At 58.6% G+C, this 25,876-nt stretch overlaps 2 protein-coding genes across 7 annotated transcripts in view, besides 17 other annotated features; both read right to left on the reverse strand.

The window, feature by feature from the left end:
- Positions 2,306 to 2,405: a silencer, noted in NCBI's record as "silent region_20607". NCBI's record gives its function as "represses an Ori minimal core promoter by ATAC-STARR-seq in GM12878 lymphoblastoid cells {active_cell/tissue: GM12878}" and the evidence as "EXISTENCE:reporter gene assay evidence [ECO:0000049][PMID:35858748]".
- Positions 2,706 to 2,755: an enhancer, noted in NCBI's record as "active region_29350". NCBI's record gives its function as "activates an Ori minimal core promoter by ATAC-STARR-seq in GM12878 lymphoblastoid cells {active_cell/tissue: GM12878}" and the evidence as "EXISTENCE:reporter gene assay evidence [ECO:0000049][PMID:35858748]".
- Positions 2,762 to 8,870: a recombination feature, noted in NCBI's record as "recombination_hotspot; locus 2 recombination breakpoint sub-region, resulting in interstitial deletions". NCBI's record gives the evidence for it as "EXISTENCE:DNA microarray evidence [ECO:0005524][PMID:19293338]".
- Positions 4,582 to 5,829: a meiotic recombination region, noted in NCBI's record as "meiotic double-strand break mapped by DNA meiotic recombinase 1 chromatin immunoprecipitation followed by single-stranded DNA enrichment and sequencing in the germ cells of some male individuals with the PRDM9 A/A and PRDM9 A/B genotypes". NCBI's record gives the evidence for it as "EXISTENCE:chromatin immunoprecipitation-seq evidence [ECO:0000229][PMID:25395542]".
- Positions 5,250 to 5,262: a nucleotide motif, noted in NCBI's record as "nucleotide motif; similarity to the predicted 13-mer PRDM9 A binding motif (LD hotspot motif), CCNCCNTNNCCNC".
- Positions 5,592 to 5,604: a nucleotide motif, noted in NCBI's record as "nucleotide motif; similarity to the predicted 13-mer PRDM9 A binding motif (LD hotspot motif), CCNCCNTNNCCNC".
- Positions 10,782 to 11,191: a silencer, noted in NCBI's record as "silent region_20608". NCBI's record gives its function as "represses an Ori minimal core promoter by ATAC-STARR-seq in GM12878 lymphoblastoid cells {active_cell/tissue: GM12878}" and the evidence as "EXISTENCE:reporter gene assay evidence [ECO:0000049][PMID:35858748]".
- Positions 12,105 to 12,772: an enhancer, noted in NCBI's record as "H3K4me1 hESC enhancer chr9:140191021-140191688 (GRCh37/hg19 assembly coordinates)". NCBI's record gives its function as "activates a minimal SCP1, AML or CMV promoter by ChIP-STARR-seq in primed H9 embryonic stem cells {active_cell/tissue: H9 hESC(primed)}" and the evidence as "EXISTENCE:reporter gene assay evidence [ECO:0000049][PMID:30033119]".
- Positions 14,413 to 15,306: an enhancer, noted in NCBI's record as "H3K4me1 hESC enhancer chr9:140193329-140194222 (GRCh37/hg19 assembly coordinates)". NCBI's record gives its function as "activates a minimal SCP1, AML or CMV promoter by ChIP-STARR-seq in primed H9 embryonic stem cells {active_cell/tissue: H9 hESC(primed)}" and the evidence as "EXISTENCE:reporter gene assay evidence [ECO:0000049][PMID:30033119]".
- On the reverse strand, positions 15,167 to 17,807 carry NRARP (NOTCH regulated ankyrin repeat protein). Its single transcript, NM_001004354.3, has one exon. The coding sequence runs from the start codon at positions 17,462 to 17,464 to the stop codon at positions 17,120 to 17,122; it is 345 nt and encodes a 114-aa protein (NP_001004354.1). The 5' UTR covers positions 17,465 to 17,807; the 3' UTR covers positions 15,167 to 17,119.
- Positions 16,665 to 16,714: a silencer, noted in NCBI's record as "silent region_20609". NCBI's record gives its function as "represses an Ori minimal core promoter by ATAC-STARR-seq in GM12878 lymphoblastoid cells {active_cell/tissue: GM12878}" and the evidence as "EXISTENCE:reporter gene assay evidence [ECO:0000049][PMID:35858748]".
- Positions 16,835 to 16,894: a silencer, noted in NCBI's record as "silent region_20610". NCBI's record gives its function as "represses an Ori minimal core promoter by ATAC-STARR-seq in GM12878 lymphoblastoid cells {active_cell/tissue: GM12878}" and the evidence as "EXISTENCE:reporter gene assay evidence [ECO:0000049][PMID:35858748]".
- Positions 16,965 to 17,044: a silencer, noted in NCBI's record as "silent region_20611". NCBI's record gives its function as "represses an Ori minimal core promoter by ATAC-STARR-seq in GM12878 lymphoblastoid cells {active_cell/tissue: GM12878}" and the evidence as "EXISTENCE:reporter gene assay evidence [ECO:0000049][PMID:35858748]".
- Positions 17,106 to 18,024: an enhancer, noted in NCBI's record as "H3K27ac-H3K4me1 hESC enhancer chr9:140196022-140196940 (GRCh37/hg19 assembly coordinates)". NCBI's record gives its function as "activates a minimal SCP1, AML or CMV promoter by ChIP-STARR-seq in naive H9 embryonic stem cells {active_cell/tissue: H9 hESC(naive)}" and the evidence as "EXISTENCE:reporter gene assay evidence [ECO:0000049][PMID:30033119]".
- Positions 17,106 to 18,366: a biological region, named in NCBI's record as "H3K27ac-H3K4me1 hESC enhancer GRCh37_chr9:140196022-140196940".
- Positions 17,727 to 18,366: a silencer, noted in NCBI's record as "silent region_20612". NCBI's record gives its function as "represses an Ori minimal core promoter by ATAC-STARR-seq in GM12878 lymphoblastoid cells {active_cell/tissue: GM12878}" and the evidence as "EXISTENCE:reporter gene assay evidence [ECO:0000049][PMID:35858748]".
- The window catches only part of EXD3 (exonuclease 3'-5' domain containing 3), a 116,267-nt gene continuing 112,822 nt past the window's right edge, over positions 22,432 to 25,876 (reverse strand). For 4 of the 6 annotated variants that reach the window (XM_047423543.1, XM_011518810.2, XM_047423542.1 and 1 more), the window contains 3 exons: positions 25,143 to 25,326; positions 23,144 to 23,182; positions 22,432 to 22,799 (listed from right to left, as the gene is read on the reverse strand). In XM_047423543.1, the coding sequence (XP_047279499.1) occupies positions 22,486 to 22,799; positions 23,144 to 23,182; positions 25,143 to 25,326 (537 nt within the window). In that variant the 3' untranslated portion in view covers positions 22,432 to 22,485. The remainder of the gene's footprint in view (positions 22,800 to 23,143; positions 23,183 to 25,142; positions 25,327 to 25,876) is intronic. The other 2 variants (NM_017820.5, XM_047423544.1) reach the window with 1 other exon arrangement.
- Positions 22,613 to 23,530: an enhancer, noted in NCBI's record as "H3K27ac-H3K4me1 hESC enhancer chr9:140201529-140202446 (GRCh37/hg19 assembly coordinates)". NCBI's record gives its function as "activates a minimal SCP1, AML or CMV promoter by ChIP-STARR-seq in primed H9 embryonic stem cells {active_cell/tissue: H9 hESC(primed)}" and the evidence as "EXISTENCE:reporter gene assay evidence [ECO:0000049][PMID:30033119]".
- Positions 23,021 to 23,140: an enhancer, noted in NCBI's record as "active region_29351". NCBI's record gives its function as "activates an Ori minimal core promoter by ATAC-STARR-seq in GM12878 lymphoblastoid cells {active_cell/tissue: GM12878}" and the evidence as "EXISTENCE:reporter gene assay evidence [ECO:0000049][PMID:35858748]".

Raw genomic sequence — 25,876 nt, forward strand, 5'->3', positions numbered from 1 at the left:
GGATTGCAGGCACGCACCAACATGCTCAGCTAATTTTTGTATTTTTAGTAGAGACAGGGTTATACCATATTGGACAGGCTGGTCTCAAACTCCCCACTTACAGTGATCCTCCAGCCTAGACCTCCCAAAGTGCTGGGATTACAGGCGTGAGCCACCATGCCTGGCCCTAGGCAAACTTTTTGAAATAAAGCTTTTTTTTTTTTTTTTGGTTTGTTTGTTTGAGACAGGGTCTCACTCTGTCACCTAGGCTGGAGGGCAGTGGTGCAATCTCAGCTAGTGGTGCAATCTTGGCTCACTGCAGCCTTAAACTCCCAGGTTCAAGCGATTCTCCTGCCTTGGCCTCCTGAGTAGCTGGGACCAGAGGCGTGTGCCACCATGTCCTGGTAATTTTTGTTTTTTTTTTTTTTTTTGAGACAGAGTCTCGCTCTGTTGCCCAGGCTGGAGTGCAGTGGCGCGATCTCTGCTCACTGCAAGCTCCGCCTCCTGGGTTCATGCCATTCTCCTGCCTCAGCCTCCCAAGTAGCTGGGACTACAGGCGCCCATCACCACGCCTGGCTAGTTTTTTGCATTTTTTTTTTTTGAGATGGAGTCTTGCTCTGTCATCCAGGCTGGAAGTGCAGTGGCGCAATCTTGGCTCACTGCAAGCTCCGCCTCCCGGGTTCTCGCCATTCTGCCTCAGCCTCCTTAGTAGCTGGGATTACAGGCGCCTGCCACCATGACTGGCTAATTTTTTTTTTTGCATTTTTTTAGTAGAGACGGGGTTTCACCATGTTAGCCAGGATGGTCTCGATCTCCTGACCTCATGATCCGCCCTCCTCGGCCTCCCAAAGTGCTGGGATTACAGGCATGAGCCACCGTGTCCGGCCCCACATTGGGTAGTTTCTATTGATCTAGTCTCAAATTGCATGGCGAGCACATACAATTCCAGCTGCCCGGGAGGCTGAGGCAGGAGAATCACTTGAATCCAGGAGGCAGAGGTTGCAGTGAGCCGAGATTGAGCCATTGCACTCCAGCCTGGGAGACAGAGCGAGACTTATCTCAAAAAAAAAAAAAAAAAATCTGTTGCTCAACCTCTTTAGTGGATTTCTCATTTCAGTTTTTGTGCTTTTTAACTCCAAACTTTCCATTTCCATTTGGTTCTTTTTTTTTTTGTCTTTCAATTCTTTATTATATATAAAAAATTGTTTTCCATCTTGAAAGTTTTTTTTTTAAATTTTTTTTGAGAGATGAATCTCAATCTGTTTCCCAGGTTGGAGTGCAGTGGTGCAATCTCAGATCACGGCAACCTCTGCCTCCTGGGTTCAGGCAATTCTCCTGCCTCAGCCTCCTGAGTAGCTGGGATTACAGGCATGTGCCACCACGCCCAGCTAATTTTTGTAGTTTTAGTAGAGACAGGATTTCTCCATGTTGGCCAGGCTGGTCTCAAACTCCTGATCTCAGGTGATCCACCACCTTGGCCTCCCAAAGTGCTGGGATTACAGGTGTGAGCCACTGCACCCGGCCTAATTTTTGTATTTTTTTAGTAGAGACGGGGTTTCACTATATGTTGGCCAGGCTGGTCTCGAACTCCTGAGATCAAGCAATCCTCTTGCCTCGGCCTCTCAAAGTGCTGGGATTACAGGCGTGAGCCACCGCACCTGGCTTCACCTTGAAAGTTTTAAAGCCAATGTATCTTCTCTTTCTGAAGATTTGAAACATTTTGTAGACAGAATGGAAAGCAATGAAAATCTACAAAAATGTTTTGAATACCCAAAAGAAAAAGCATCAGATTTGTTTCTGGCAATACCTGTGGTTGAGATGAAGGAATCCATAGCAGAGGTTTCTTCAGAGCCTCAGGCTTGGGATCAGTTTTTGTTGCACTATCAGGTTGAGTGTCTGCGATTACATGTTCAGAGGATCAACCAAAGTCAGAATTTCTGAAGTTGAAGTGAAACTACAGTATACTTTTTTTTTTCCAGACAGAGTTTCACTCGGTTGCCCAGGCTGGAGTGTAATGGCATGATCATAGCACATTGCTCAAGCACATAGCAACAGGCTCAAGCAATCCTCCTGCCTCAGCCTCCCGAGTAGCTGGGACTACAGGTGCATGTCACCACGCCCAGCTAATTTTGTTCATTTTTTGTACAGATGAGGTTTCACTATGTTGCCCAAGCTAGTCTCAAACTCCTGGGCTCAAGGGATCCTCCTGCTTTGGCTTCTCAAAGTGCTGGGACTACAGGCTTGAGCCACCACACCTGGCCCAGACTGTGTTCTTTTTTTTTTTTTTTTTGAGACGGAGTCTCGCTCTGTCGCCCAGGCTGGAGTGCAGTGGTGCGATCTCGGCTCACTGTAACCGCCTTCTGAGTTCACACTATTCTCCTGTCTCAGCCTTCCAAGTAGCTGAGATTGCAGCATGTGCCACCACACCTGGCTAACTTTGTATTTTTAGTAGAGATGGGGTTTCACCATGTTGGTCAGGCTGGTCTTGAACTCCTGACCTCAGGTGATCCGCCTGCCTTGGCCTCCCAAAGTGCTGAGATTACAGGCGTGAGCCACTGCACCTGACCCAGGAGAAGGTCTTTGACTGTGTGGAGCTGGTGATGGATGAGCTACAAGGAGCAGTCCCTGCCATGGGCCTTCGTGGACTGAGGCCGTCAGAGCCTCCAGCAGGTGTCAGTGCAGCTCAGGGAGAGACACCCACTCAGCACCTCCCAAGAGATGCAGACTCATGTCCAGGACCTCGTGGAGTTTCTGGAGGCTGGAAAGGGAACGGGGATGGAAGGCGCTCCAGCACGTGGCCATTGCCCGGGGGTGTGAGCTGGTGATTTCTGCCCTTCTGCCTCTGAGGATGAGCGTAGAGCGTCGTAGTTTTTCTTATTTTTTTTTTCAAGACGGAGTTTCGCTCTTGTTGCCCAGACTGGAGTGCAGTGGCGTGATCTCGGCTCACTGCAACCTCTGCCTCCCGGGTTCAAGTGATGCTTCTGCTTCAGCCTCCCGAGTAGCTTACCTGGCTAACTTTTGTAGTTTTAGTAGAGACAGGGTTTCATCATGTTGCCCAGGCTGGTCTCCAACTCTTGACCTCAGGTGATCCACCTGTGTCGGCCTCCCAAAGTGCTGGGATTACAGGTGTAAGCCACCGAGCCCAGCCTCTTTTCTTTTTTTAAAATTTTTATTTTTTTGAGACAGGGTCTTACTCTGTCACCCAGGCTAGAGTACAGTGGTAGAGTCATAGCTCACTGCAGCCTTGCACTCCTGGGCTCAAGTGATCCTCCCAGCTCAGCATCCCAAGCAGCTGGGGCCACAGGTGTGCACCACCATGCTTGCTTAATTTTTGTATTTTTTATAGAAATGGGGCTTTGCCACATTGCCCAGGCTGGTCTCGAACTCCTGAGCTCAAATGATCCACCCACCTTGACCTCCCAAAGTGCTGGGATTACAGGTGTGAGCCACGGCGCCCAGCCGCCCATTCCTTTTTAAGGCTGAAATGAGTACTGTGGATCAGGATGCAATGTGACTGGTGTCCTTACAAGAAGAGAATATTTGGGCCAGGCACGGTGGCTCACGCCTGTAATCCCAGCACTTTGGGAGGCCGAGGCGGGCAGATCACGAGGTCAGGAGATCAAGACCAACCTGGCTAACATGGTGAAGCCCCATCTCTACTAAAAATACAAAAAATTAGCCAGGCCTGGTGGCAGGTGCCTGTAGTCCCAGCTACTTGGGAGGCTGAGGCAGGAGAATGGTGTGAATCCGGGAGGCGGAGCTTGCAGTGAGCCGAGATCGCGCCACTGCACTCCAGCCTGGGCGACAGAATGAGATTCACTCTCAAAAAATAAAATAAAATAAAATAATAAAAAAATAGAAAAGGAAAGAAAAAGCGCCTCTGCCCGGCCGCCCCTACTGGGAAGTGAGGAGCCCCTCTGCCCGGCCAGCCGCCCCGTCCGGGAGGGAGGTGGGGGGGTCGGCCCCCCGCCCGGCCAGCCGCCCCGTCCGGGAGGTGAGGGGCGCCTCTGCCCGGCCGCCCCTACTGGGAAGTGAGGAGCCCCTCTGCCCGGCCAGCCGCCCCGTCCGGGAGGGAGGTGGGGGGGGTCAGCCCCCCTGCCCGGCCAGCCGCCCCGTCCGGGAGGTGAGGGGCGCCTCTGCCCGGCCGCCCCTACTGGGAAGTGAGGAGCCCCTCTGCCCGGCCACCACCCCGTCTGGGAGGTGTGCCTAACAGCTCATTGAGAACGGGCCAGGATGACAATGGCGGCTTTGTGGAATGGAAAGGCGGGAAAGGTGGGGAAAAGATTGAGAAATCGGATGGTTGCCGTGTCTGTGTAGAAAGAAGTAGACATGGGAGACTTTTCATTTTGTTCTGCACTAAGAAAAATTCCTCTGCCTTGGGATCCTGTTGATCTGTGACCTTACCCCCAACCCTGTGCTCTCTGAAACATGTGCTGTGTCCACTCAGGGTTAAATGGATTAAGGGCGGTGCAAGATGTGCTTTGTTAAACAGATGCTTGAAGGCAGCATGCTCGTTAAGAGTCATCACCCATCCCTAATCTCAAGTAATCAGGGACACAAACACTGCGGAAGGCCGCAGAGTCCTCTGCCTAGGAAAACCAGAGACCTTTGTTCACTTGTTTATCTGCTGACCTTCCCTCCACTATTGTCCCATGACCCTGCCAAATCCCCCTCTGTGAGAAACACCCAAGAATTATCAATAAAAAAATAAATTAAAAAAAAAAAAAAAGAAAAAAAAAAGAAATTGGAGAGCCAGCAAACCGAGAAGATGGAGACCTGGAGACCTAGTGTCCTGAACCAGTATCTTACATTTTCCATGCTGGCAGGAGGGTTTTCATGGGATGGGGGATGTGGAGAAACTATGTGCAGGGCTTGGGATCAGGAGGGGACCGAGGACCACACACATCTGGGTGCCAGCGAGGGTGGGAGGGACCGAGGACCACACACATCTGGGTGCCAGCGAGGGTCTGAGGAGGCTGTGGCCACTTCTCTGTCCTTGGTCAGGTCACAGTGCTCCTGTAAATCTTTTTTTTTTTTTTTGAGATGGAGTCTCGCTCTGTCGCCCAGGCTGGAGTGCAGTGGTGCAATCTTGGCTCACTGCAACCTCCGCCTCCCAGGTTCACGCCATTTTCCTGCCTCAGCCTCCCAAGTAGCTGGGACTACAGGCGCCTGCCACCATGCCCGGCTAATTTTTTTTTTGTATTTTTTGTAGAGTCAGGGTTTCACCATGTTAGCCGGGATGGTCTCGATCTCCTGACCTCATGATGTGCCCACCTTGGCCTCCCAAAGTGCTGGGATTACAGGCGTGAGCCACCATGCCCGGCCCTTGCTCCTGTAAATCTTTAACAAAACCTAGTTAGTGGGTTTCATTTTTATTTTTTTATTTTTTTTTCAGGGTCTCACTCTGTCACCCAGGCTGGAGTTCAGTGGCGTGACCTCGGCTCACTGCAAGCTCCGCCTCTTGGGTTCAAGCGATTCTCCTGCCTCAGCCTCCCGAATAGCTGGGATTACAGGCATGCGCCACCATACCAGCTAATTGTTGTATTTTTAGTAGAGAGTGTTTCTCCATGTTGGCCAGGCTGGTCTTGAATGCCTGACCTCAGGTGACCCACCCACCTTGGCCTCCCTCAGTACTGGGATTACAGGCGTGAGCCACCGCACCGGTCCCCACATATATATTTTTTGAGACAGGGTCTCTCTCTGTTGCCCAGACTGGAGTGCAGGGGTGCAATCATGGCTCACTGCAGCCTAAACCTCCTGGGCTCAAGCCATCCTACCACCTCAGCCTCCAAAGTGGATGGGACCACAGGCGTGTGCCACGTCTGGCCAGGTTTAAAAAATTTTTTTAGAGACGAGGTCTCACTATGTTGCCACGCTGATCTCAAACAGCTGGGCTCGAGCAATCCTCCTGCCTCCTCCCAAAGTGCTGGGATTACGGGCGTGAGCCACCACACCTGGCTTTAAGTAGAATTTATTTTTATGTATGTATTTATTTATTTATTTATTTGAGATGGAGTCTTGCTTTGTCGCCCAGGCTGGAGTGCAATGGCACAATCTCGGCTCACTGCAACCTCTGTCTCCTGGCTTCAAGTGATTTTCCTGCCTCAGCCTCCGGAGTAGCTGGGATTACAGGCACCTGCCACCACGCCTGGCTAATTTTTGTATTTTTAGTAGAGACGGGATTTCACCATGTTGGCCAGACTGATCTTGAACTCTTGACCTCGTGACTCACCTGCCTCAGCCTCCTAAAGTGCTGGGATTACAGGCATGAGCCACTGTGCCCAGCCTGATATTTCTAGTTTTATTTTACCAATAAGTTAAAAACTATTTTTGGCCTGGCATGGTGGCTCACGCCTGTAATCCCAGCACTTTGGGAGGCTGAGGCGGGCAAATCATGAGATCAGGAGTTCAAGATCAGCCTGGCCAACATAGTGAAACCCTATCTCTACCAAAAATACAAAAATTAACCAGGTGTGGTGGCACGCACCTGTAGTCCCAGCTACTTGGGAGGCTGAGGCAGGAGAATCGCTTGAACCCAGGAGGCAGAGGTTGCGGTGAGCCAAGGCGGCAGCATTGCACTCCAGCCTGGGTGACAGAGCAAGACTCTGTCTCAAAAACAAACAAACAAATAAAAAAACATTTTATTTACCAAAGATTATAAAATTCATGTGAACCTGATAGACATTTGGACTTAACTTATGAGTATCCATTTACTTATAGGCCAATTTGGTAACATGCTACATACAACATATAACAATACCTGTACATATACATAAACACATTTAAACATATATACATACAAACACACACACACACAAAGATCCAAACCTTTTTTTTTCTTTTTTTTGAGACGGCATCTGGCTCTGTTGCCCAGGCTGGAGTGCAGTGGCATGATCTCAGCTCACTGCAACCTCTGCCTCCTGGGTTCAAGTGATTCTCCTGCCTCAGCCTCCCGAGTAGCTGGGATTACAGGCACCTGCCACCATATCTGGCTAGTTTTTGTATTTTTAGTAAAGACAGAGTTTCACCAAGTTGGCCAGGCTGGTCTTGAACTCCTGACCTCAGATGATCCTCCCGCCTTGGCCTCCCAAAGTGCGCTGGGATTACAGGCATGAGCTAACGCGCCCGGCCTTTTTTTTTTTTTTTTTTTTTTTTTGAGAGAGTTTTGCTCTTGTTGCGCAGGCTGCAGTACAATGGCATGATTTTGGCTCACCACAACCTCCGCCTCCTGGGTTCAAGCGATTCTCCTGCCTCAGCCTCCTGAGTAGCTGGGATTACAGGCATGCGCCACCATGCCCGGCTAATTTTGTATTTTTAGTAGAGACAGGGTTTCTCCATGTTGGTCAGGCTGGTCTTGAACTCCCAACCTCAGGTGATCCACCCGCCTTGGCCTCCCTAAGTGCTGGGATATTACAGCCATGAGCCACTGCGCCCGGCCTAATTTTTCTGTTTTTAGTAGAGACTGGGTTTCACCATGTTGGCCAGGCTGGTCTTGGACTCCTGACCTCAAGTGATCCACCTGCCTCAGCCTCCCAAAGTGCTGGGATTACAGGTGTGATCCACCATGCTCAGCCTGTTCTTTATTTTCAAGATTATTATTATTATTTTGAGATGGAGTTTTGCTCTTGTCGCCCAGGCTGGAGTGCAATGGTGCGATCTTGGCTCACTGCAACCTCTGCCTCCAGGGTTCAAGCAATTCTCCTGCCTCAGCCTCCCAAGTAGCTGGATTACAGGTGCCCGCCACCACGCCCGGCTAATTTTTGTGTTTTTAGTAGAGATGGGGTTTCACCATGTTGGCCAGGCTGGTCTTGAACTCCTGACCTCAGGTGATTCACCTGCCTCAGCCTCCCGAAGTGCTGGGATTACAGGCATCAGCCACCGCACCCGGCCTCTTTTCAAGATTATTTTGTTTATTTTTTTGACATTTGTGTTTCCAAATGAATTTTAAAAATCATCTAGCCAATTTCCACGGAAAGCCTGCTGGATTTTGACTGTGATTGCATTGAATCTGTAGATGAATTTGGGGAGCACTTATAACACTATCAAGTCTTCTAGGCAGTGAACATGATACGTATCTCTTTTGATTCAGATTTAAAAAAGAATTTCTCGGCCAGGTGCAGGGGCTCACACCTGTAATCCCAGCACTTTGGGAGGCTGAGGAGGGTGGATCACAAGGTCAGGAGATCGAGACCATCCTGGCTAACACGATGAAACCCCGTCTCTACAAAAAATACAAAAAATTAGCCGGGCGTGGTGGCGGGCGACTGCAGTCCCAGCTACTCAGGAGGCTGAGGCAGGAGAATCGCTTGAACCCGCGAGGCGGAGGTTCCAGTGAGCCGAGATCAGGCCACTGCACTCCAGCCTGGGCGACAGAGCGAGACTCCATCTGAAAAAAAAAAAAAAAAAAAAAGTTTCTGGCAATGTTCTATAGTTCTCATTGGAGAGATCTTTCATTACACACTTTCATTAATTTTTTTGTTAAGCATTTTATGTTTTGCCGTATGCTATTTTAGTGGTATTTTCTGAATGTTGACAGGATATAGAATCACAATTGGCTTTTGTGCATTGACTTTGCGCCCTGCAAGGCTCGACATTCACATATTCGTCCTAGCAAAGTGCCTGGTAGGCAGCTCATTCCTCCTTCCTCTGGCAAAGGAGAGGCCCCAGATCTCAGGCCTGGTCTGCGGTGGGAAGAGCCTTGCACCGGAGCTGCCGGGTCTGCAACCCTCCGAGGTTGGATTTCCAGTCCCTGGGCTCAGTGCCTGGGAGGGGAGACGGACTACCAGGGAACATGGCGGGGCCCCTGTTGGGGACACAAGAGCTGGCCGGTGCCACGCTCTGGGATTCCAGGAGGGTGTCCTCGTGACGCAGTTCCTTTCTGGAGGAGGATGAGTGTGCCAACTGAAAAACTACCCGGGAACATGAGCCTGTGTTTGTGGCGCACCAGCCAGATTTTACGAGTTCCGAAAAAAAAAAAAAAAAAAAAAAAAGAGGCTACACCTTGCAGAAGTTAGGGAAACACGAACCACACAGACAAATCTCAACAGCATGGCGACGAGTTTCAGGGGCAGGACAAAAGAAGCGCGTGCCACGTGATGCCTTTAGAGAAAGCTCTGGAACAGGCGCCGTGAATCCACGGTGCTAGAAGTCGGATGGGTGGTGATCTGGGGCAGGAGGAATTGACTGGGATGGGCCGGGAGAACTTTCTTGGCTTTAATAATATCTTTATATAATTGTGATTGTGGTGTGGGTTACATGGTGTAAACAGCCATCAAGACTTGCCACACCCTCAAGGGGTGCATTTTATTGCATGTAAATTACACCACCCTAACGCTGACGTTTAGGAATGTGAATGATAAACCTAACGATTTTCTTTCCGTCTGGAGTCGAATGAAAAGAAACAGTCCGTAAAGAGACCGAGGGGAAGACTTGAGAAGGCGCACTTTATTGACAAAGTAACCTTGGGAGTTGAAAGAGCTGGGTTACTTATTACTTTCCTCAAGATAAGGGAGCGGGGACCTCGCCATGCCCTTGGAAGAACCAGGAACCAGGATCCCGCCGAGGCAAAGGCTGATCCCGGGCACTTCTGCGGGTGCTGCGTTACACGGGGCGAGACGCTGCCCGCAGTGCTTCCTGGGCCATTAGGTCAGAAAAGTTAATTTCCTGATGGCCACATAGTCTCGTGGGACATTGTATTCTTCAGCTAATCTATAAAATGATGTTTATTTTTAACTGAGCTGTGTTTGCCACACTCATCACTGCACAAACTGTGAGCGCATGGCTTGGGAATTTTGCCAGCAAGTGCATGTGACAACATGGCCAGGATGTTGACGCCACCGAGGGAGGCACAGCCTTTCGCCCACCCAACCCCTACCCCCCAGATCGCTAGTCCTTCTTCCTCCATGGCTCCGTTTTAAGCGGGCACATTTCACAGATTAAAGACTACATTTCCCAGCCTCCCTTGCAGTGAGGTGGGTCGTATGACTACGTTCTAGCCAATGGGATGTGAGCAGCTGTGGCAACACAACTTTTGGGAGGCATCCTTGAAGAAGAGGGCCCTGCCTCCTTTCTGCTGGCTGGAGTGCAGATGTGATGGCTGGATCTGGGGTGCCATTTTGAGCCATGTGAACGAAAAGCCTATCCATGAAGTCTGGGGCTCCCTGGGCCACCCATCCCAGCTTCATTGGGCTGAGAAGTACACTGTGTTTTGACACCACTACTATTTCAGTTTTGTCATTTCTCTTTGGAAAGTTTATGGGATATTTTGGGCTTCATTCCTGTGTGGGTTCTTGTCTGTGGGGCCAGCAGATGGCAGTGGGGACCTTGTTTGCAGGCTCACAGACCTGAGGAGCGTTTTATCCATTTAAACACATAGCGGGTGTGAACCAGGTCTCCAGGCTCCATTCTCCGAGCACGCGAGCGTCTGAACAGAGTTCTGTTCTCGCGCCTCCGGCACAGCCACTTCCGTGAGAGGAGTGCGGCGGGGCAGCCAGGACGAGCCTGCAATTCCAGCGCCGGCCTCCTCTGCTGCGGCTCCATGGCTAAGGTAGCGGCACCTGCGGCCCAGAGGGCCCGGCTCTCGGCGGTCCTGAGGGATGGGCGCCGGGTCCTGCTCCCGTCCGAAGTGTGACCTGTGGTTGGTCGCGTCCACGTGGTCCTGCTGACTATCTACTTACTCGTTGCGGCTCAGGGCCTCCCTTTCCCATCGGACCGCGTGGAGAACGGCACACCATTGCCAACTGCTTGTTTAGGACTATGAAGGGGTCACTTTTCCAGACCCTCGTCTGGGGGTCCTTCTAGGGGCTGCAGAAGCCACGAGTCGCTAAGGGGTACCTGCCGCTTCCTCTGCCCCAGGGCGCCCCTGACCTCCGGGCATTGGGGCCCGGCTCCCCGCAGCCTCCCACCCCGCCCCGCTCCCGAGCTAGCAAAGCCCACATGGCCCCGCCGTCTACCCCGGCGCCCGCCCCGCCTCCCTGGGGCCGAGGGGCTGGCAGGAAGACTCGGGGCCCGCGGAGGTCCGGGGCAGGGCGGAGTGCGGGGTGCACGCGCTGGAGCGCGGCCGGGCCCGAGGCGCAGTGCGGGCGGCGGCCACAGGGCGGCAGCACAGCCGCGGCGGCTCCGAGGCTCGGGAACCCGGGGGCTCCGGCCCTTGCGCCCGGGCGAGGTCGGTGGGAGCCCCGGGCGCGCCCCCTCCCCTGCCTCGCATGCCCCCGCGGACCGGGCCGGGGCGGGCGGGGTGTCTCCGGCGAGGTCCGCGCTGGGTCGGACCCCCCTCCCCACCTGCGCCGGGCGCACTCTAGCCCCACGCGCGGCGGCGTCTGGTGGGCGGGGCGGGGTCCCCAGGACGAGCCGCGCGTCCCAGGCCGCGACCCCAGCGCTGGGGCGAGTGGGTGCGCGGCGCTGCGAGCCGGGTGCGCCCCCTCGGCCCGGCCCTCGGCTCTGCCCTCGCCCCTCGCGGTGCGGGCGCTTTCCGGGTGCGCAGGCGCCCCGCCCCCACCGTCCCCGCCGTCCCCACCGTCCCCGCCGTCCCCGCCTGGCGCGCTGGGGACCGGAATGGCCCGGCTGGTTTTGAATGTAGAGATCGGGCTTTGTGAGCGGCTGCCCCCACCCCCACATGCCCCCCACGGCCCGGCTCCCTCCCCCCGCACCCCGGCCCCAGCCCCCCGCCCTCATTAGCATAGCAGCTGCTCGCCGAGCCGGACGGCGCGGAGGAAAGGGCAGAGGCCTCGGGAATGAATGGGGGCCGCGGCTTTGGAGGGGCGAGAGAAGAAAGACCGACAGACGGACGCGCGGAGGACGGTCGGAAGGACGGCCCGGCAGAAGAATGCGCCGGACGGGTGTTGGGAGTTTCCAGCGGGGGGAGCGGCTCCGGGCGGTGGAGCCTGAGTGTGCGGGGGTGGGTGGAGGGCGGCCTCCCGGGGACCTCCAAGCCCCGGAGGGTCTGCACTGGAGGCCCTGGAAGCAGCAGTTGCGGAGGTTCCCAGACCTTCCACGGCCCCTCCCGTGTTCCAAGCCGTCGCATCCCGGCCTCAGGCTTCCTTCCCCAGGTGTCCCTGGCGCGGGGCCTCCTTTCCCGTCCTTCAAGGCCCAGGTGGACGCTGCCTCCTCCCCGCAGGCTCAGGGAGCTTCAGGGGCAGCTGGCCTTACCGATGTCGGAGGCTCTGTGCGCCGGGTGTTCTAGTGTCCACGACCCCTCTGTCCCAACCTGTGCTGAGCTATGAGGCCTTTGGGGGACAGACCCCAGCGGGCAGCTCCTTCCCGCTCTTCCTTCCCTGCACCCGTCTCCCTGGCTTCTAAGTCCTGTCCACCCTCCTCTGGCCTGCTGTGTCCTGGCTCCCACGCCTGCTGGCTTCAGACATCACTCTTTCTAGCTGACCATCTTCCTGCATTTCCTGGTCTTTCCGTGGCGTCTGTTCCAACGTCAGTGCTTCCTGCCTCCAGCCGGGGTCAGATCAGAGACAGACAGTTGGACGGGAGCCCAGCAGTCCTGGCGGGGGATGTGGGGCAGGCCCTGACCTTGCCGGGACTGTCTCCTTTCTCTCAGGGGTTCCCAGGGACCCAGCCCCCACCTGCCAGCCCCTCCACCGTGGCTGTCCTCCGTGCCTCTCGGCCGGACACCTCACCTGGCCTCCAAGGCACACCTGCAGATCTGGGAGGCCGGGGCTGACGGTGTAGGCTGGGCCACCCAGACCTTCTTTCTCACCCTGGCCACAAAGGGGCCTGCCTGGGGAGGGGGGTTGGGGACTCCCCAGTAACTCTGCCATAGGCCAGTACCCACCATAGCTGCTAATACCTACCAACACCCTGCTGCAGTAAGTGACCTGCTGAACACAGAAGCACTGGAAGAAGCGTGTGCACAGGCCCCTGAACTCAGGAGGGAAACAGGCATCAGAGACACATAGCAGCATCGACCTGGCCATACCCAGAGACCAGGTACTTCCTCCTTTTTGCCCATACCCCAGAGCTGCCCCCCCCTCCCCTTGTGGCCAGGGAGGCCCACTCTTGGCGCACAGGTGGCCAGCCTCCCCCTCCACTGAGCTGCTTCTAGGAATGTGCTACCCCGGGCTTCCTAACAAGGACAAGCCTGTAGGCTGTGCTCAGCGTCCCCGGACCGTCCTCCTGGGCTCTCAACACCTGGACCCTCCCAGCTGAGATTTCATTCATAAATCTGACCCCCAGAGGTGGGAAGAAAATTGTGGTTTTAGAGAGTGTGTCTACCTGCCCCTAGGGCTGTGCCTGGTTTTAGAGTGTGTCTACCCGCCCCCTAGGGCTGTGCCTGGTTTTAGAGTGTGTGTCTACCCGCCCCCTAGGGCTGTGCCTGGTTTTAGAGTGTGTGTCTACCTGCCCCCTAGGGCTGTGCCTGGTTTTAGAGTGTGTGTCTACCTGCCCCCTAGGGCTGTGCCTGGTTTTAGAGTGTGTGTCTACCTGCCCCCTAGGGCTGTGCCTGGTTTTAGAGTGTGTCTCTACCTGCTCCCTAGGGCTGTGCCTGGTTTTAGAGTGTGTGTCTACCTGCTCCCTAGGGCTGTGCCTGGTTTTAGAGTGTGTGTCTACCTGCTCCCTAGGGCTGTGCCTGGTTTTAGAGTGTGTCTACCTGCCCCCTAGGGCTGTGCCTGGTTTTAGAGTGTGTCTACCTGCTCCCTAGGGCTGTGCCTGGTCTTAGAGTGTGTGTCTACCTGCCCCCTAGGGCTGTGCCTGGCAAGAAAGGTCAGCGAGGCTGTCCCCAGTCATCCGGGCCGGTCAGTGTACACAGCGACACCTGGGGAGGAAGCAGACCCCCTCCAGGGCTCCACCCTCTCAGCCCTCCTCTCCTCAGCTGCCCACAGGGCTGCCCGGGCAGGCTTCCTTTTGTTCCTGCGCGAGAGAAGAGCAGCACAAGGCCTTTCTCAGTCAAATGTATCTTTCAGAAGACAGAATTTAAGGGAGCTGCAAAGAGTACCCTGGGGTGGCAGCCATGTGCCTGGGAGGCCCCTGGTGCCAGGCCAGGCCTCTCCGCAGTGGGAGAACTTCCCGGATATTGCAGGGGCAAGCAATTGGCTGGGACCCCACCCACCTGCAGGCTAATGCCAGTAACAAATGTTACCTTTGTTCTTCAGACCCTGGGTGGGGAAGGGTGGAGTGGTCCAGCATAGCCCTGGCCATCACTGGGGCTGCCTGACCTCATTCTCTGGTTACCCCAATCGTGTCCAGGTTCTTGTGGCCACTCTCCTTTCCAACGGCTGGGCATTCCCGGGCTGGCCCAGGGCAAGACTTCCCAAAGCCTGCTTCAGGGAGCTGGCCCATCTCCCAGGCCGATTCTGCAGGATAGGAAATGCGTAACCGACGGAAAACGCGCCTGGAAAACCAAGGGTAAACAGGGCGGCAGTGCAGAGTAGGAAGGCGGAGGCGTGGGGAAAGTTTGTGGGAAGGGCAGCCCTTCTGCGGACACGGTTTAGGGAAGCAGATTCCCCTTACATTCGGCAGAGGGGTTTGAAAAGTTGTTACCTTGTAACTCCCGGTCTTTGCCCTTCTCCAAGTTCTCTCTGCTGGCTGCTCTTGCTGGGGGCGGGTGTGCTCCCTTGCAGCCCGGTACAGGGCCCCCAGGGCCCCAAGGGCATCTCAGGAGTGGACCAAGAGTCTCTGCTCCTTTCTGTCAGGTGCCAGCAACAGCCATCCTGCTCTGCTCTCCTTTCTTGCGAATGGGAGTGCCCGGCCCCGATGCTCGTCTAACTCAGGGTCTGTGCTCTTTGGGGTGTTTTGACTCCAGGCCTGTGCAGGCCTCCAAAGCTCCCGGGTGCCTCCAGGGGACTTTCTACCTGCCAGGAGTGAGCAGCTATGGGATTTCCCCCCAATTTACAAGATACACTTTCTGTGCAGCAGGCAGCCTCCAGCATGACCCCCTAGCGGGTCAGAGTGGGCAGGGCTTCAGGCCGAACTCTCCTCTCCAGCGGAGGTCTCAGCTGCTTTGCTGGGGAACAGAGCAGAGGCTGTGACACCAGCTCTGGGCACGCTGGAGGTGCTGGGTCCTCGTGAGTCCTGTGTGCAGCCGGGTTGGGCTTGGCCGTTGCGTGGGGCTGGGAGCGAGTTTACCAGGCTCTGTCTTCAGACAAATACAAGCCAAGCATTGTGCACCCAGCACCCACAAACCGTGTCACAGCCTGACCCTCGTCCCCAGAGAGGGTGTTCTGCAACTTGTGCCAAAGCCAAGAAGGACCAAGAAACTTTTTTTTAATATAAAAAGATCAATGAAAAATTTATTTATAAATTTTTCACGCTGGGCTACAGGTCAATATCGTACACTCAGGAATGTGCTGCACAAACTTTATCCAGTTAGCAGTGATCACCCCGTGACCCACACACAGCTTCGATATAAGCCTAGAAAGTCTTAACATTAATTAACATAATTAAAAAGGTATTTGCATCTAGAAAAAATATACAGAAGAACTCCTTGTGGAGTAATCTGTGCCTCCATTTCAATGTCTGCTTGTTTCACTGACATTATCAATATATTCTTCTCACACAAAGTTTTATAAAAAGCGACGGAGGGCTGCCCGAATACGACCAGCCACGCACAAAGGGCCTCCACCCACCTGTGTCCTCAAGTGCTCCCCATTTCTGCACGAAGGGTCAGCAGCACTTCCATGAAGGGGAAACCTCATTTAAATTTGAATAATTCAGCCTCCCTTTTATTTCTCAGGATCAAAACAACAAGGGGTGTGGGGCTGCATAGAAAATTGGAGCCACAGAAACCAGGAAGGGCGCCTTTCAGGACAGAAAGTGACGCAGGAGAACCTCCCCGGGCCCAGGTCTCGACGCAACCCCTCCCCCACGGCAGGATTTCGGGTTCGAATTGAGTCCTCGAAGCTCTGGGAGGCTAAAAAGGGGCAAAACGATCCTTCAATTAACTCAGCCATTAGCACAAGAGATTCACAGTCTTATAGGTATTTTATAAAAATATAAATATGGGTACACTCTGTTGCCTTCACAACGCTGGATACATCGCCCTTTAAAATTGGGTTTATAACCAAGATTCAAAAAATACACCTAAAACTTGGCTTAAAATATGTTAATATTTTATATTCTGTCATAAATGTTATGACATTTAATTGTGGCAAATCCATTTACTTTTTTTAAAAAAGTGTGCAACCGTTAACTATGATAGAACGCACTAGAAAAGGTAACGAACCTTCACCCACCCCCCCGTGTCCCCGCCACCCTCGAGCGCCAGCGAGCTTCCAGGATCCTGGGGAAACTGCAAAACAAGCCGGTTTGGGGGATGGTGGCCTCATCCAGGAGGGGCGGGGGAGAGAGGCCCTGGGGCTTCCAAAACTCACGGATTTGAGGGAGAGGGAGAAGGAGGGAGGGGGAACAGAACGGGGTGGGGAGGTAGACGCGGGGAGAAGGGAAGGGGGAGGGACAGCACGGGAACACCATCAGGCTGGGCGGTATTTTCAGTGCAACCAAGAAATGGTAGACTCAAGTTTTTAGTTTTAAGACTAGAAAAAAATGCATCACTCCCCCCCATAACCACATTGACCACGCAGTGTTTTCCAAACAAAAAAACCAGGCGCACAAACTCCACCCACAAATGTACACACACAAGATAAATAGTTTAGAACACCAGCAACAGCGAACAGCCGAGCGTCTCCTCGGCCGCGCGCCAGCGGCGCGGACCTCGGACCTCGGGGCTGCTCCTCGGCTGCAGCCGGCATCGGCGCGTCCCGGGCCTGCGGGCGGGTCCTGAAGGCGGCGGCGGAGCGCTCCGAGTCCGCCTTCGGCTCCCGCCGCCCGCCTTTCACCTTCGGGAGAAAACATTTTGCGCAGAGGATCCGGTATCTCGGGATTCCGAACTTGCTGGTTGCGAGACTCAAATTTCAAAAGGGGCTGGAGCCCGCGCCCCGCCCCCACCCGCGAGGCGGCGGGCAGGCGAGCGGGTGGGGGCCGTGGGAAGCTGCTCCGGCCCGGCCGGGCCCGGCTAGGCCGCAGGGAGGCGCTCGGCCGGCGGGGCTGCCGGACCCTGGGGCCGGGACGCACGCGCCGTATTCGCCGTGGCCACGGGCCTTCTGGCGGGGCCTGCGAGCCGGGCGCGCACCGAGGTAGTTGGCGGGAAGGTACAGCAGAGACGACGCGGGCGCAGGGCCGGGGTCCGGGGTCCCGGCGGGCATCACCGGCCGCTGGCCGCGTACTTCGCCTTGGTGATGAGATAGAGCACGATGTCCTGGTGGCCACCGAACGCGGCGATGTGCAGCGCGCTCCAGCCGTCGCGGTTGGCCAGGCGGATGTCGGCGCCGAACTTGACCAGCAGCTTCACGAGCTCCAGGTTGCCGTCGATGACCGACTGGTGCAGCGCCGTCTGGCCCTCGGGCCCGAACGAGTTCACGTTGAACTCGCAGTTGGTCATGTTCTGCAGCAGCGACTGCAGCTCCTGCGTGTTGCCCTTGCGCACAGCCTCCTGGAAGATGCGCTGCGTCTGCGGCGCGGAGCAGGTGGACAGCTCGGCCTGGCTCATGCTGCCGCCGGGCGCGGGCCGCGGGCCGGGCCGGGGCTCAGCGCGGGCGGCGGCTGCGGCGCGGGCCCCCGGCTGTCTCGGGGCGCGCCTCGGCGCATGGAGGGCGCGGCGTCCCCGGGCCCCGCACGCCGCCTCTGGGCGCTCCGGGCGCTCGGGGCCGGGGGTCGCCGCCGCGGGGACCCCGCCGCATCCAGCCGCGCCCGGGTGGGCGACGGGGGCGCGCGCTCGGCTCGCGGGGGCCGGGCCCGGCCGGGGACGGCGGCGCCGCGCGGTCCCGGTCCCTACTCGGTTCGGCTGCGGCTCCCACGCGGTCCCAAGGCGCCTCCCCACGCGCCGCAGCACTAGCTCGCCCGCCGCGCCGGGGCGCCTTTTACCTTCTTTATATTTGCATAACAATGGCAGCCCGTGACGCGCGCGCCGGCGGCCCCGGGATTGGGCCGCGCCCACATGGGGGCGGGGCGTGGGCGGTGCCGTGCGCAGGGGTCCGGGGGCGGGTCCCGGCGGCGGCGCGCTTCGCGGCAGGGGGCGCTGGTCGCCGGCAGCGCCTGGGCGGGGGAGGCCAGGTGGCCGCCGGGGGGGTCCAGCTCCGTCGCCGCCGCCGTCCGCGCGCCCCCCGGGCGCTCCGCGTCTCTTTGCGGTCGTCCCGCCCCTTCTCCCTCCGGCCACCCGGGGAATTCCAAGCTCCCTCAGCAGCCAGACCCAGGCCTTGCCCGGTACCCGAGCGCGACCGCCAGGTGGCCCCGAGGGCGGCCTCTCCCGGGCAGGGGGTTCGCGGGCATCTCAGGCCCGTGGCGAAGGAGAGACCCCTCTGAGCGGAGAGGCGCGCGGCGACCCCGGCCAGCCCGCGCCTCCGGGCTCACCGTCCACGCGGGTGGCAACTCCAGGCCCTGACGTGGGGCCTTCAGCCACGCGGGTCCTTCCCGCGCGCGGGCAGCCTCATGGCCGCCGGCTCAGCCTATGTGTGCCCCAACCGTACTGATGCGAGGGGCCTCCGGCCGGCCACCGCGGCTTCTATCGCCTGGCGGTGAAGGGGGTTCCGCTGTCCTCTCGGGAGGAAGCCCCGGGCCGGGGCGCAGCGGGAGGGTCGGGACCGCGGCCTGCCTCCCTCTGCTGCCCACGCACCAGCATGCGGGACACATAGGTCCTGCCCAGGTGAGCAGGGCTAGGTGTGGCGCCAGGGCCAGAAGGGAATTCTGAAACGCCTGGCTTCCAAACTGTAAAACCCATTTTTATTGACCACTCTAACAATTGACCGGGAGGCACTAGCAGGGGAAGCACAGCGCATTTCCTCATTAGAGTTTTACAGTTTACAACTCGCTGTGGTCGTTGGAAATTAAGGAGGAGTGATTCTCAGGCGCGGAGCAGGAGGCCAGGCAGGCTGGGGCTTGAATTCCTTCTGAAGCCAAGCCGGGAATTCCGCGCAGGCAGCTCTGAGCTCGGGCTGGGGAGACCCCCATGCCAGGCCTTGTCTGAGGAGGCTTCCGCCCACCAGCTCCATGTCCCCACATCCGGCTCCCCACAGGGGTGTGTCCCCACCCCATGCTGTGCCCATACTGGCAGGAAAAACTGGGCAGGCTCCCTTCGGGACAGACCCTGGCTGACCGGAGCAGGGTCCTGAGGCCCTGGGGTCCTCCTGGTGGGCTGGGAACCTCTGTCCCTCAAAGGCACAGCTCAGAGCTCGCTCTGGTCTTCCTGGGGCCGTGATCCCGCTGGTTCTGTTCAGCTCTCTCCTTTGGGCCTCACTGCTTCTCCCAGGAGCTCTCAAGGGGGCCACGGAGGGTGGAGGGGTGCTCCCCAATATGCAGGTGAGGACACAGTGGAGTCCCGGAGTAGGCCCCCAGCAGAACAGAGATGGGCGCTGTGGAGCCCAGGCCCGGGGCAGGGATGGCATGGCCTGGCCTGCCGTGCTCTGCTGGGCACCTTTGGCCTCTTAAGGAGGGGGAGCCGCTGGGCTGCCTGCTGGTCCCTGGTGCTGGCTGTGTCTCTGGACCTCAGACCAGGGCTGGGTGTGCAGGGTGCTCTGAGCTCACTGTCAGGAGGGCAGGAGCTCTGTCCTGGGCATTGATGGATTTTGTGCATATGCCCAGGGCCCAGCCAGGCTAGACTGGCAAGAGGCAGAGGGCATGACTGGGGGGTGGGCAGAGCCCTTGGTGCTCAACAGGCACAGGGCCTCCCCTGGAGGGTGGGTGGTTTGCAAACAGGCCGAAGCCCAGGTGGGCTCAAGCCGGGCCTGGAGAAGGCATTTGGCTATGCTGTGGGCCAGGAGCAGGGCCTGGGAGAAAGTGCCGTCGGCATCCGTGGCGGCGGCAAACAAAGGGGCCCTGTGTGAGCTCGGTGTGGGAACGCGGGGCCCCGCCACGGGCGTGAAATCGGCAGCGGCCCCTGGCGAGGGCCAGGCGGTGCGGGCGCCCCGGCAGGCACAGTGAGGCTGGTGTGGCGGCCCTGCAGGGCGGGAACCTACCCCCTGCCCGGGGTCCAGAGCGGGGTCAGGCAGAGGTGGTGGGGCCTGCCACGGCAGTGTGGCTGTGGCCCAAGGCAGGTACCCAGGCTCATCTGTGGGACTCAGAGGCTGGCCACACCACACTGCCCACAGGGAGTTCGCTGAGTGGCCCTGGCTCCTGCTCCTCCACCGTGGCTCCCAGCTCCCCTGGGCACACCCACGGCCCTGAAGCTGCTCCATTTGAGGATGGGAAGGGGGGAGGGGCCGGGGGGGCAACAGCTCTGAGTCAGCACTTCCCGAATGTTTGCTGAGGGACATCCAAAAGGTGGACATCTGTTCCAAATGCTGGGACACGGGGGTCCACCTCCAGCCACCCAGTACTTGTGCTCGAGAGGACCCCCTGGTGTTTGCCGGTGTTGCTTGGAGCCTTCTGCTGTCTGGGAGGCCCTGCCCTGGGACCTGGCAACAGGCTCAGCTCCGACTGTGCAGCTGGGCCCTGTCCTTCCTCCCCTGCCTGTCCTGAGGATGCTGGCCCCGGGGGTGCCCTGCCTGTAACCCACCTGCCCCCAGAAGGCAATGGTGGGGCCCCTTCTCTTTGCATGCACCCCCTTTCCTTCCTTCCCTGGAGGCTCAGAGCAGTGGGCAACATGGGGAGGGAGGTCTGTGCGGGGTGGCCGGCCCGCCTGGGAGGGCCCAGGGAGGACAGCGCAGAAGGGGCAGCTGGCCAGAGCTGGGCCGAGGCCTGCGGCCACCTTAAAGGCGCTAAGCAGGGAGGGAGGGTGGCGGGCAGTGGGGGCGGGGCTTCCAGCTAATTCATTAAAATGTGTCGGGAGCGTGGGAAAGAGGAGAGTGTTTCTTCCCAGCAGCCCAGACACCTGGTAGAAGGGCTGAGAGGATCGAGATCAAATAACAAACACTCAGCCCGGGCCAGCACAGGCCGCGGCGGAGGAAGGACGCCCGGGCAGGAACTGCCGCAGACAATCCCTGCAACCGGTGGCTCCTGCCCGCCGGGATGGCTGCTCAAGGCATGGCCTGGCACTGGCAGCCTCGGCCACCCGGTCAGCCTGGTGTCTGTCCCCTAGCCCAGGAAGCAGCCTGATGGGTGCTGACCCCAGTGACCGAGGCGTGCTTCCAGCACCTGGACCAGGATGGGAACTGGGCAGAGAGCCTCACCCCCACCAAAGCCTGGGCCTGGGATGGACGCCGCAGAGCCAGGCCGAGCCTATGCTGGGTAGTGAGGGACGTGTGGAGGCGGGAAACACATATGGCACAGCACGGCCATGGCGGAAAGTGAGGGCGGGTGGAGGCGGGGCCAGCCGGGAGGGACGGAGGATGTGTGGTTCTGTCTCCTTGCGGCCTCTGCACCACTCTGCCTCCCTCTGCCGAGAGCCAGCAGCAGCACTTGGGCCTGTGTTGGGAGCAGGATGCAGCCAGGCCGGGTGGAGGGTGGGTGCCCTCAGCCACTCCCTCTTAAACCCTGCCAGGCAGGAGTTCGGTCCGGGGCTGCCTCCCCAGGACAGGAATGTGGAGCTGGGGTTCCCCTCCCGGAAGCAGATCCCGGTCCCAGAAGGCCCTGACCCTCTCCTGGGGTGCTGCTCTGCTCACCCTGGTGCCCCCACCTGACTCTCAGGCTCACGCCCTGCGGCTGCCCAGCAGGTCAAGGGGGCAGGTCAAAACTCGAGTTGGCTCTGACACAGGCCAGGCCCTCCCCGTCTCAGCCTCCCCCTCCCCATCTGTGAAATGACACCCCTGCTGGGGTTGCTGGGGGCTGAAGGGGTTGGGCTGCAGTCCTTAGGGGTACCCAGGGGCAGTGGCCAGCCCTGGTGTGGTCGGGACCCACAGGGAGGCCCCGACTGGGCCAGTCCAGGGATGCCCAAGGCCTTCGCACCCGAAGCCTGCTCCTTACTCTGGGCAGAGGCGGCTGCTTCTCCCCAGCCCGCCCCCAGGCCCCTGCTGCCCGAGGCTTCCGCCCACCTCCTCGGCCAAATCTGAGCTGATTTCCGCTCCAGGCAGGAAGCAGAGGAAAAGGATGTGGGTGAGGGGAGGGGGTACATTCCTGGGATGGTCCCTCCCCGGGCTTCTCCTCCTCTCCCACCTCTGGGACCCCCTGCCCTCCCTGCTCCACCTGACAGAGCACCCTCGGACCCTCAGGGTGGGCAGCAGTGGCCGCCTGGGCCTCAGCCTCCTCCCAGACAGGGGCAGCAGCAGCTACGTCCAGGCAGCTGTGAGGACGGAGACGTTGGCGTCCACGTGTGCAGAGCCCTGGCCATGGCCGGCTGCCCAGGTGCCTCTAGTGGGGGCTGTGGCTGCTGCTCTCCCGTGGGAATCACGCAGCCCTGACGGGGGTGATGGAGAGACCTCGTGGGTCCCACCAGGCTCGGGGTCCCAGCATCCTGACCATCTGGAAACCCTGTCTTCCCCCGACAGCGGCTCGGGCTGGGACCCCGCCTTGGTGTTCCCAGCGCTTGCTGGCACAAAGGGGCCCACGAGGGGTTTGTGGGGCGAGCATGAAACATGTGAGCCAGTCCACGGCCATGGGCCCAGCAGTCGGGCACTTTCCATGTTTATTGTCTGGCTGTCCTCAGAAGGGACTGCTGGCCGGGCTGGGGGCTGGGCTCGGCTCGCAGGGGCTGGGGGCGCTCTCCAGCATGTCTCGGAAGTGGGTGGCAACACGACCCAGGTGGGAGCCGTCCCAGAAGACCTTTCCACAGCCCGTGCAGCAGTAGAAGCACCGCAGCCCAGGTGTCCTCAGCACACCCACCGGGACCCCTGCCAGCTGCAGCCGGGTGCCGTCGGCCAGCATGTCCGGTGTCTCCGCCCGCAGGTCAGCCATCTGCAGCCAGCGGCAGGGGCGGTCATAGGTGCAGCCCTCAGGGGCTGCGTCTGGGGCTGGGCCTGGACAGATAGAAGTGGACTCCCTGAGCCCTCAGCCTTCGGGCACGGCCCCCAGGCTGCTCCCAGAGTGGTGCAGTTGGCGGCCCACGCTGAGCCCACGCTCACTCCTCAGCAGCTCCTCTTTCTGCTCCCTATCCGCTGACTCTGCGTCCTCCACTTCCTCTTCTGTGCCCACTTCTCCTATCCAGGGACCCCACCCCTCACCTTGCAGGCCCTAGGGCCTACAGGAGCCCCACAGAGCCCCCTCTGCCCGGCCGGGACCCAAGTCCCCCATTCTGGGGGAAGCCTGGCACCAGGGCCGCAGAGAAGCAGCTGTGTCCTTGGTGGGCGGTCCCGGGGCTCACCTGGCTCCTGCACCGCCTGGCTCTGGGTGGCCTCGTCACCTGTCAGTCAAGGAAGAGAGCTGGTCCGGGACTGTCCTAGGGATGGGGCTTGGCAGCCAGCGGGGTCCATGACGCAGCCATGCGGCTGAGCACAGTCACCTCATGGGGTGCAGCCTCTTCACACACCCCCCAGCCTTCGCAGACGGGCAGAGGGCAGGGGGCCAAGGAGCTGTGGTACCGGCCTGGTCCCCTCCCTTGGGAACTCACACCTCGGAAAGGTCTTGGGGCTCAAAGGTCCCTGGGAAACATGTTCTAGGCGCGAGATCTGCTGATTAGGGCTCTTGGGGGCCTGAGAACCGGCGGGCGGGGGCGGGGGCAGCCCATTTGTGGTGATGAGCAGATAAGCCCACTGCCAGTGAGTGAATTTCGAAATCAGCCAGCACAAGGGTGGGCGGGTGGGCAGGGCCCAGGGACTGCCAGGCTCAGGGTCTGTTGGAGACCCTGGGAAGTGGCTCGTGCTGGCCCTGTGAGGCCCCGAGCCCCCATTGAGAGCCCAGGGCAGGCAGGGCCGGTATCCACTCAGGGGTCACTGTGGGGCTGAGTGCACGGTAGCCGAGGGAACACTGGCCAGCAGGTGGGAGAAGCGTCTGCCCTGCTCCTGTTGACCCTCGTAATTTGCTCAGCAAGCATTTCGCTACAGATGGCTCCAGATCAGCTGCGGCCGGGGATGAATGCACCACGCCCCCACCCCAGCCCCAGCTCCTCCTTGAAGCCCAGGAGGCCATGACCCTCATCTGGCCCCTCCCTGGCTGGCCCCAGCTCTTACCCTGCAGTCCCTGTCACACTCGTCAGCCCATCTGGGTGTTGCCCACTACCCTCGGGTGGGGTGTGTGCCGTCATGTCCTGGGGCTCTGGTCTGAGTGTGTCTTTGCGAGCGGGGGACCTGAGGTTGGAGGCCACCTCCAGCCTCGCTCTCCGGGGTGTGCTCTGCTGGCCACCCTGGGTGATGGTCGCTCCCCGTCCTCCCACCCTGAACTTGGACTGACCCTTTTTTTTTTTTTTTTTTTGGAGACGGAGTCTCACTCTGTCCCCAAGGCTGGAGTGCAGTGGTGTGATCTCGGCTCACTGCAACCTCTGCCTCCCAGGTTCAAGTGATTCTCCTGCCTCAGCCTCCCAAGTAGCTGGGACCACAGGCGTGTGCCACCACACCCGGCTAATTTTTTGTATTTTTAGTAGAGACGGGGTTTCACCATGTTAGCCACCACCATTGAGATGGTCTCAATCTCCTGATCTTGTGATCTGCCCGCCTCGGCCTCCCAAAGTGCTGGGATTACAGGCGTGAGCCACCGCGCCCAGCCTGGACTGACCTCTTTCTATCCACCTCCATTCCCTTAGCCCCCGTGCCAGCCCCCGACTGAGGATGACCAGGAGCAGCACCCTTCACTCCCTCCCTGGGGCGCCTCCCTCCCGAGGGTAGGGGCCAGCAGTTCTAATGGCGGCGGGGCGGGGGCCATACTTCCAGCCCCCGTGCAGATCTAAAACTGCAAAGTCCTTGGGCGGCCTGCACCCTCCACAGGAGGAGAAAGAAGCCCTCTTTCTAGTTTCCCAGGCAGGGAAACAGGCTGGGGCCTTCCCTGGGGGGGTGGACATCTGGGGTCAGCTAGTGCTGTGTGCAGGTGTAGGTGCACGTGTGTGTGTGTCTGTGTGCACCGCATGCCTGGGCCCAGCAGAGAGAAGGAGGTGCACACCACTCCAGAGGGTCGCCAAGGGCCCTGGTGTCCTGATCTTCTGGTCTGCTACCACACAGAAGGGAGCAGAGGCCATCTGGGTACCTGACCCTGGCTGTGGTTTTTCCACCTGTTGTCACCTGGCTGTGGTTTTTCCACCTGTCGTCACCTGGCTGCCACCCTTATCTGAGGAAGCTCAGTGCTGGACGGGCCAGGCCCCTCTCCCTGGCTACCTCAGTAGGTCGACCCATCCCAGGCCCCCCAGACCCAGTGCCTGACCCTGACACACTCACCTGAGCTCCTGGGCCCCTCCTGGTGACTGCTGAGCCACATGAGCTGCTTCATCATGTCCCTGGAGACCTTTAGGTACTGGTCACAGTTACAGGCCTGGGGGCCAGAGGGGGTGCTGAGGCCCAGGCGGGGCTTCTCCGGGTGCCCCATACCCCAGCCCTCTGCTCGCTCCTCGAAGCTCTGGGTCTGGCCATGGGGTTTCACAGAGACAGATAATGGGTCCCCTCCTGTCCCCACGCATAGTCCTGTGGGGTTCAGGCCATACCGCCTCCTGGAAGCCCTCCCTGACTGTGCTGGCTTCTCATGGGCCCTGGGAAGCCTCTTCTGTTTTTTGAGAACTTGTGGGACTCTCTGCCCAGCTGCCCTCTCCAATCCCAGAGCCCTCGAGGGCAGAACCAGGTCTGGGTCCCCCGTGGGCCACCTCAGCTGGCGTGTTGGACACAGGGCCCAGCCTTAAGGGGTCAGCGTGGGCAGCCCCATAGTTGCCCCAACCCCTGACCTGTCCATTTCCACATCCACATTTCCCTGATACCTGCGCCTCCCACTGCCCTGGGGCAGGTGTGGCCCTGAAAGTGGCGAGGGGGCTGGAGCAACACCACTGTGTGCCTTGTCCAGGGCACAAAACGGGCCCCCATGGCTGCATTATTATTATTATTTTTGAGATGCGGTCTCATTGTCACCCAGGCTGGAATGTAGTGGCGCAATCACAGCTCACTGCAGCCTGAAGCCCCGGGGC

Source organism: Homo sapiens, chromosome 9, assembly GCF_000001405.40.
Source record: "Homo sapiens chromosome 9, GRCh38.p14 Primary Assembly".
Lineage (NCBI taxonomy): Eukaryota > Metazoa > Chordata > Mammalia > Primates > Hominidae > Homo > Homo sapiens.

What these genes read in the sequence shown, in the direction of transcription:
- NRARP (NM_001004354.3), bottom strand. Translation starts at nt 17,464, where the DNA reads ATGAGCCAGGCCGAGCTGTCCACCTGCTCCGCGCCGCAGACGCAGCGC.